At 43.5% G+C, this 8227-nt stretch overlaps 1 protein-coding gene and 1 pseudogene across 3 annotated transcripts in view, besides 2 other annotated features; both read right to left on the bottom strand.

The window, feature by feature from the left end:
• CBX5 (chromobox 5) overlaps positions 1-8227 on the bottom strand; it is a 49181-nt gene that overhangs the window by 21525 nt on the left and 19429 nt on the right. Inside the window, exons 1-2 of one of the 3 annotated variants that reach the window (NM_001127321.1) lie at positions 7043-7120; positions 5048-5226 (exon numbers count right to left, since the gene is read on the bottom strand). In NM_001127321.1, coding sequence (NP_001120793.1) covers positions 5048-5184 — 137 coding nt within the window. In that variant the 5' untranslated portion in view covers positions 5185-5226; positions 7043-7120. Of the gene's footprint in view, positions 1-5047; positions 5227-6803; positions 7121-8227 lie in introns of those variants that run through there. The other 2 variants (NM_001127322.1, NM_012117.3) reach the window with 2 other exon arrangements.
• RN7SL390P (RNA, 7SL, cytoplasmic 390, pseudogene) lies at positions 3161-3444 on the bottom strand (annotated as a pseudogene).
• Positions 3997-4658: an enhancer, noted in NCBI's record as "H3K27ac hESC enhancer chr12:54650247-54650908 (GRCh37/hg19 assembly coordinates)". NCBI's record gives its function as "activates a minimal SCP1, AML or CMV promoter by ChIP-STARR-seq in primed H9 embryonic stem cells {active_cell/tissue: H9 hESC(primed)}" and the evidence as "EXISTENCE:reporter gene assay evidence [ECO:0000049][PMID:30033119]".
• Positions 6852-7021: an enhancer, noted in NCBI's record as "active region_6436". NCBI's record gives its function as "activates an Ori minimal core promoter by ATAC-STARR-seq in GM12878 lymphoblastoid cells {active_cell/tissue: GM12878}" and the evidence as "EXISTENCE:reporter gene assay evidence [ECO:0000049][PMID:35858748]".

The following is an 8227-nucleotide window of genomic DNA, read 5'->3' on the forward strand; positions in this document are numbered from 1 at the left end:
AAAACAAATTCAAATGTTCATCAATGGATGGTGACATGGAAAAACAAAATGTGGTATATCCATACAAAGGAATATTATCCAACAACAATAAGCAAAATATTAAAACATGCTACAACTTGGAAGAACCCCAAAAACATTATACTAAGTGAAAGAAATAAGACACAAGATACTACATACTAATTCCATTTACATGAAATGTCTGGGAAAGACAAATTTATAGAGACAGAAAGCAGATCAGCCGGGCACGGTGGCTCACACCTGTAATCCCAGCACTCTGGGAGGCCGAGGCAGGCAGATCACTTGAGGTCAGGAGTTTGAGACCAGCCTGGCCAACACAGTGAAACCGTGTCTCTACTAAAATTACAAAAATTAGCTTGGTGTGGTGGTACACATCTGTAGTCCCAGCTACTCGGGAGGCTGAGGCAGGAGAATTGCTTGAGCCCGGGAAGGGGAGGTTGCAGTGAGCTGAGATTGTGCCACTCCTGCCTGGGCGAAAAAGCCAGACTCTGTCTCAAAAAAAAAAAAAAAAAAAAAAGCAGATCAGTGAATGCCTGGGGCTGAGGGAGGGAGTTGTAATTAACTACAAATGGGAATCAAGAGAATTTTGGGGGACACAAAAATGTTCTGAAACTGGATCATAGTGGTGGTTGCATAGCTCTATAAATTTATTCCAAATCATTTAATTGGAGCCAGGCACAGTGGCTAACGCCTGTAATCCCAGCACTTTGAGAGGCACTCAGGAGTTCGAGACCAGCCTGGTCAATATTGCAAAACCCTGTCTCCACTAAAAATACAAAAATTAGCTGGGCTTGGTGGTGCACACCTGCAGTCCCAGCTACGCAGGAGGCTAGGGCATGAGAACTGCTTGAATCTGGGAGGCTGCGGTTGTAGTGAGCCAAGACTGCACCACTGCATTCCAGTCTGGGCAACAGACTGAGACTCTATCTCAAAAAAAAACAATAATAATAATTTAATTGGGCTGGGCGCAGTGACTCACGCCTGTAATCTCAGCACTTTGGGAGGCTAAGGTGAGCAGATCACTTGAGCCCAACAGTTCAAAGACCAGCCTAAGCAACATAGCAAGACTCCTGTCTCCACAGAAGATTTAAAAATTACTCAGGCATGGTGGCTTGCACCTGTAGTCCTAGCTACTTGGGAGGCTGAAATGAGAGGATCCCTTGAGCCCAGAAGGTTGAGGCTGCAGTGAACCGTGATTGCACCACTGCACTCCCACCTGGGTAACAGAGTGAGATACCATCTCAAAAAAAAAAAAAAAAAAAAAAATCACTGAATTGTACAATTTTTTTTTTTTTTGAGATGGAGTCTCACTCTGTCTTGCAGGCTGGAGTGCAGTGGTGTGATATCGGCTCGCTGCAACCTGTCTCCTGGGTTCAAGCCATTCTTCGGCCTCAGCCTCCCCGGTAACTAGGATTACAGGCATGCGCCACCAATTTTTGTATTTTTAGTAGAGACGGGGTTTCACCATGTTGGCCAGGCTGGTCTCGAACTCCTGACCTCAAGTGATCCGCCTGCTTCGGCCACTCAAAGTGCTGGAATTATGGATGTGAGCCACCGCATCTAGCCTGAATTGTACAATTTCAATGGGTGAATGTTATGGTGTTTAAATAATACCTCGATAAAGCTATTTAAAAACCCAAAATTCAGCCAGGCACGGTGGCTCATGCGTGTAATCCCAGTACTTTGGGAGGCTGAAGCAGTCGGGCATGGTGGCACCTGCCTGTAATCCTAGCTACTCAGGAGGCTGAGGAGGGAGGATCACTTGAACCCGGGAGGCAGGAGGTTGTGGTGAGCTGAGTTCGAGCTATTGCACTCCAGCCTGGGCAACAAGAGTGAAACTCCATCTCAAAAAAAAAAAAAAAAAAAAAAGGTTTATTTAGATGGGAATGATTTGAACACATGCCATAATAACCTGACTCAAGTAGAAAGCAGAAAGACGGAAAAATCTGAGCTATTTACTCTTGACCTAAACAACTTTCTACAAAAGGAACATAATATTGAGACAAAATTTATTTCTAAATCATTTGAGCTAATATGGGAAAGTTTCTCCTTTATATCCCTTCTCTCAGCAGAAAAAAAATTCCTCGGCCGGGCACGGTGGCTCAAGTCTCTAATCCCAGCACTTTGGGAAGCAGAAGCAGGTGGATCACCTGAGGTCAGGAGGTCGAGACCATCCTGGCCAACACAGTGAAACCCCATCTCTAATAAAAATACAAAATTTAGAAGGGCGTGGTGGCGGGCGCCTGTAATCCCATCTACTCAGGAGGCTGAGGCAGGAGAATCGTTTGAACCCGGGAGAAGGAGGTTGCAGTGAGCCAAGATCACGCCATTGCACACCAGCCTGGGCAATAAGAGCAAAACTCTTGTCTCAAAAAAAGAAAAGAAGTCAAGAAAAAAAATTCCTCACACAGTAACTTTCCCCAAAACCCACAGACCATATAGTTTACCATCCCAGAGGAAATTAACATACCAATATCAAAAGGTGTACCAAGACTATTACACAAGCCGAATACACTTGGGGGTTGGGAAGAATCTGTTGATAGCTAGAAAAGCCAGTCCTATAATGCGATTATCCCTTTTCCTAACACTTTGGTACTGCTGCTTCTACTTCAGTTTCCACCCAAAAGACAACATAGTATGATTTAAAAAGAGCCTGGGTTGGCCAGGAATAGTGATTCACACCTATAATCCCAGCACTTCAAGAGGCCAAGGCAGGCAGATCGCTTGAACCCAAGAGAGCGAGACCAGCCTGGGTAACACAGTGAGACCCTGTCTCTATTTTGAAGATAAAAAAGCAGGGCGTGGTGGCTCACGCCTGTAATCCCAACACTTTGGGAGGCTGAGGTGGGCGAATCACAAGGTCAGGAGTTCGAGACCAGCCTGGCCAACATGGTGAAATGCTGTCTCTACTAAAAATACAAAAAGTTAGCTGGGCGTGGTGGCAGGCACCTGTAATCCCAGCTACTCGGGAGGCTGAGGCAGGAGAATCGCTTGAACCCGGGAGGCGGAGGTTGCAGTGAGCTGAGATCGCGCCACTGAGCTCCAGCGTGGGCGATAGTGAGAGACTCTGTCTCAAAAAAAAAAAAAAAAAAAGATAAAAATATGTAAAAATTTAAATTAAAAAAAGAATTAAAGTTTTGAAAGAGGCAAGGGTCTTGCTATGTTAACCAGACAGGAGTGCAGTGGCTATTCACAGGTACGATCCTACTAATGCTCAAAATGGGAGTTCTGACCTGCTCTGGTTCACTCCTACTTAGGCAACCTGGTGGTCCCTCACTCCTGGGAGGTCACTATATTGATGCCAAACTTAATGCAGACACCTGATCGGTTTAGTGCACTACAGCCCAAAACTCCTGGACTCAAGCAATCCTCCCACTTCAACCTCCCTAGTAGCTGGGACCACGGGTACATACCACCATGCCTGGACTCTAAATGCTTTTGTGAGAATCGAAGAGAGCACAAGAGGTAGAATTTGATCACTGTCTAGCACAAAGTAGGCATTTAGTTATAGACAATGCTGATTTGTTCCAGTCTTTTATGAAATCCAGGGCATTTCTGAAAAAGGACCAATGTTTACTTTGTCTACCCCAAACCTTACCTTTTCCCCTTTCATCTATGGTAAGGTACCAGTAGCTCAATGACAGAGAAAGAGTTTCAAGTATCTTTCAAACACCCAAATATTTCCAGTGGAAATGGGCCCAATAAACATCTTCAAAATCTTCTGGTGTTACTTTAGTTCCTATCTGTTAGTGCTCTAGAGGTCTCTCAAACTTTAACAGTTCTCATCTCTAGTGGAAGCTGTGATACCACTCCTCTCTACAAACAGAGGGCATCTTCTGATTGTTGTGCTACCCATACTTGCACTCTGGGTGCTAGAGATGCTAAGCATCCTGCAATGCATGAATGATCCCACCTACAACGCCAATAATTCTCCAGATGAGAAACCTTGAGTCATGTAATGAAATAACCTCCAGTATGTTTCAAAGGTTCTTGACACATAGCCTTTATCCAAAAGTATTGGTAAACCACTGTATCTTTTAGTGTATTTAGGTCCTAGACTGCAGGAGCTGTGCCATCCAATATGGTAACCACTAGCCACATGTGCCTATTTGAAATGCAGCTAGTTTGAATGGAGATGCACTATAAAGTATAAAATACATCCCAGATTTTCAAGTCTTAGCACACACACACACACAAATTTCATTAATAACTTTTGTACTGATTAACGCTGAAATAGTATTTTTCACGTATTAGGTTAAATAAAATATTATTAAAATTAATTTCACAGCCAGGCACGGTGGCTCACGGCTGTAATCCCAGCACTTTGGGAGGCCAAGGCAGGTGGCTCACTTGAGCCTGGAAGTTCGAGACCAGCCTGAGTAACATGACAAAACCCTGCCTCTACTAAAAACACAGTCACCCAGGCTGGAGTGCAGTGGCGCAATCTTGGCTCACTGCAACCTCCGCCTCCTAGGTTCAAGTGATTCTCCTACCTCAGCCTCTGGAGTAGCTGGGATTACAGGGACCTGCCACCACACTTAATTTTTTTATTTTTAGTAGATGGAGTTTCACCATGTTGGCCAGGCTGGTCTCAAACTCCTGACCTCAGGTGATCCACCCGCCTCAGCCTCCCAAAGTGCTGAGATTAGAGTGCAAGCCACCACGCCTGGCCTTATAAGCACTACTGCTTATCCTTATTTCACTGAGGAGATAAAATGATTAAGGAAATTAGCCAAGGCCATCCAGTTTGTATCATAAGTGGTGGAGTTAGAATCTAGACCCAAGCAATCTGACTCTCGAGTCTGTGCTCCTAACCAATTCATTATACTGCCTTTCAAAAGCAGTATCATTAGAACGTAAGCTCCACAAGCGGAGAGATTTTGTTTTCTTTACTGCTGTGTCTTCTAACTCTTAGGAAGAGTGCAGGAGGGGGAAGAAAAAGACAAAAATGCTTGTGATTCCTAAGGAAGTAAACCAAAGGTATCTATCTCTACAGAGTCCCAACGCCTGGGGGAAAAAAGGAACTTACTCAGAAAAGCCTTTCCACTTCAGTAGATATTCCACTTGTCCCTTAACCACGCGCCTGTCTAGCACCTTCTCCACAACATACTCCTCCTCATCCTCTGAAGAAGAACTGTCAGCTGTCCGCTTGGTTTTCTTTCCCATGTCGCACACCGTTCCACCTGAAAGACTAAGGCCACCAGGTCCCTGCAAAGGCAAAGGACAAAATGGTTAGAATCCATGTGAGGAGTTAAAAACTTTGTCTTTTCTTGATGGGATGAAAAGGGGATAACACTGAGTTGCCATGTGCCCTGCTCTTGAGTCTCAAATCATTCTACAGATGAGTCCTAAGAGTTTAATTTAAAAATGAATCAGTCTTCACTTCCTCAACTACAACCTCCTCTTCGGCTAAAGAGACCAAAATTATTAGAAGGCACAACTGTTTAACTCTTCTATTTCAGATTCCAAAAGACAAGTAGTGTGGTATGTTATTCCTGGCTATGTTTGTAACTGTTTACAAGCCAGGAACTCAAACAGAAATGTGCAAAATCTTTAGTTAAATGAACCAAGATAAAATTAAAACCTTTTTCTCCAAGGTGAATAAGCGTCTTTATAAAAATGAAAAAAGAAAAGCCACTAAAATATGAGTTTTCTGTGCTCTGAGCATCTTGCCCAGTCTCTTAGCAGCACACAAAAAAGGCTTGCTTAGGCACCTTTCACCACATTTTCAGTGACTTGGTACATTTCCCTTAAACAAATTGAGCTTGTCCCTTCAGAGCATCCATCAGCTCACAAAAGCAAGGCTGACATCTCAAACACACTAATCTTCCTTTTTAGAAAGCTAATTTGGGGATGGGAGGGAGGCAGAAAGGAGAAAAAATTTTTCAGTCCTAAAATTCAAAATTAGTCACTAGATTATTCAGTAATTCCCAAGATGCAACTAACCCAAATAGTTAAGAAGGTACCTCTCCCTCTTAACTGAAGTTGACTCAGGGCCAAAGGAAGAGGAGGAGGAAAAAGAAGTCTGGCCCCAGACTCAGCATCAACATGAAGCCTCCTCAAAATACAGAGGAACCATTCATAGGCCCAAGGAAAGCTGAAGCAAGGAAACACAAATGGAAATTGAGTTAAGCTCAGAAATATGCACACCAGGGGGTACTCAACAGAGAATCTAGTTTTAAAAATTCCCATGTTGTTGTTCCATAATCATTTTTAAGAATTCTTCCTTAACCATGCTAAATGGTGCCTACAGTCTGGATTACAGAGTAGCAGAAATTGTTTTCTTAGCTGAACTCCATTATTATTTTCCTGTAATCTTTAAAGATGTTTATCAGCACCCTCTAAATATTTCCACCCTGACCAGAAAACCACTGGGTCAGGGAGGGCCCACTACTAACCTCAGAATGATGTTCAAGTCACATAAAAAGTGGCAATTATCAATTCACTTCAAATTAGCAAAATTTTAAAAATTATTACAAGAATATATAGTTGGAGACCATATCTCCAGAACTTATTAGCTATAGGTCTGCCCACCTAAAAAACTGCCTATACCCATTACTGCCCTATAAGACTAAGTTTTTATTAAAATACTCTATTTGGAAGAGGAAGTAGTAGCAAAATGTAGGTGCGGGGGGGTTAAAATAATTTTTCCATGAATTTAGAAGAGTCCTAAGCTTCAAGAAAATATCTTATGTGCTTTATTTAAAATAAAACAGCCTCCAACCTCACCAGAGACAGGAAATGTCATATTCCAGGGAGAGTACCCCACCCCCACCACCACTCACCTTGGAATTTCCGGGAGCTGAGCAGTTTAGGTCAGAGCGCTGGGGTTAAAACCAGCCCCATGTTAGATGCATGCAGTTAAGCATTGTGGCTATGGCCTCCCCTGCCTCACCAGGAAAAACAAGGATTTACATGTGTTCTTCATTTTGAGGGAGAGACAAGGAAAATCTCCCTTTATACCTTCATGCAGAAGAGGAGCCCCAAAGGTAGAAAATGAATGGGGGTTCCCTCCTTTACCTACCGGATCGCCCCAGTTCTTTCTTTCCCTCTGGGCTAACAGGAGGGGCCTCCCCTCCCAGGTCTGGGTCTTGGCGGGCTGGCAGCTCCCCTGCCCCCACCCAGCTGCCTGGGCGCCACTGCGCAGCTGTCCCAGTCCGTTGCCATAGCAACTGGCAGCAGTACTACACTAAGGGGGAGAAGCAAATGGAAAAGTTAAAAGGCTTAACTTTCCTTTTCAGTGAAGACTGGGTGGAGAAATTGGAAGGTACCTCTCTTGGCCTCAAGGCTAAGGCATTCAGAGCTTAAGGGAATTACTTCTTAGGTTTTAAATCCAGTATTTATGCTTATTCCTCTAACAGCACTGTGAATTAATCAATAACATTTTAAGATCATCTAACAAGATTACAGCTCAACTGAAGGGGGAGGGGAAAGGCTCGATCCTTCTACAACACGATCAGTACAAACCACCCATCACTTAATCCAGCCCACCAGAGCACTTTGGGCAATCCCATTTTACCGTCTGTCACAGAACAGTTAATTAAAATTGCTTGAGGGGAAAAATAACAGGAAACAGGGGAGGGGAAGTATTTTAAAGACACTATATAACTTTCCTTCTTTGGGGGGATTACTAGAGACAAAATCCAAAGACATGAAGCACTACCAAAACAACAACCAAAAAAAAAAAAAAAAAAAACCCCTTTTAACTAAAATTAGAGGTGGAGGGCCAGGTGCAGTGGCTCATGCCTGTAATCCCAGAACTTTGGGAGGCCGGGACGGGGCAATCATTTGAGGTCACGTGCTCAAGACTAGCCTGACCAACGTGGTGAAACCCCGTCTCTACTAAAAATACAAAAAAATTAGCCAGGTGTGGTGGCAGGCGCATATAGTCCCAGCTCCTCAGGGGGCTGAGGGAGGAGAAATCGCTTGAACCCAGGAGGCAGAGGTTGCAGTGAGCCTAGATCGCACCACTGCACTCCAGCCTGGGCGACAAGAGTGAGACTGTCTCGAAAAAATAAAACAAAATGAATTTAGGTGGAAAAAAATTCCTAAGAAGCTTAAAAAAAAAAAAGAGGAGAGCAGTTCTGCCACAACCTAATGGTTGATAAATTTAAACCACTTATAGGTTGCTCTATAATGTTATAAAACAGATTTTTAAATAATTATTCATCACCTGATACATTATTAATATACAACTCTCTGTATCAGT

This window comes from Homo sapiens, chromosome 12 (genome assembly GCF_000001405.40).
Source record: "Homo sapiens chromosome 12, GRCh38.p14 Primary Assembly".
In the NCBI taxonomy this organism is placed as follows: Eukaryota; Metazoa; Chordata; class Mammalia; order Primates; family Hominidae; genus Homo; species Homo sapiens.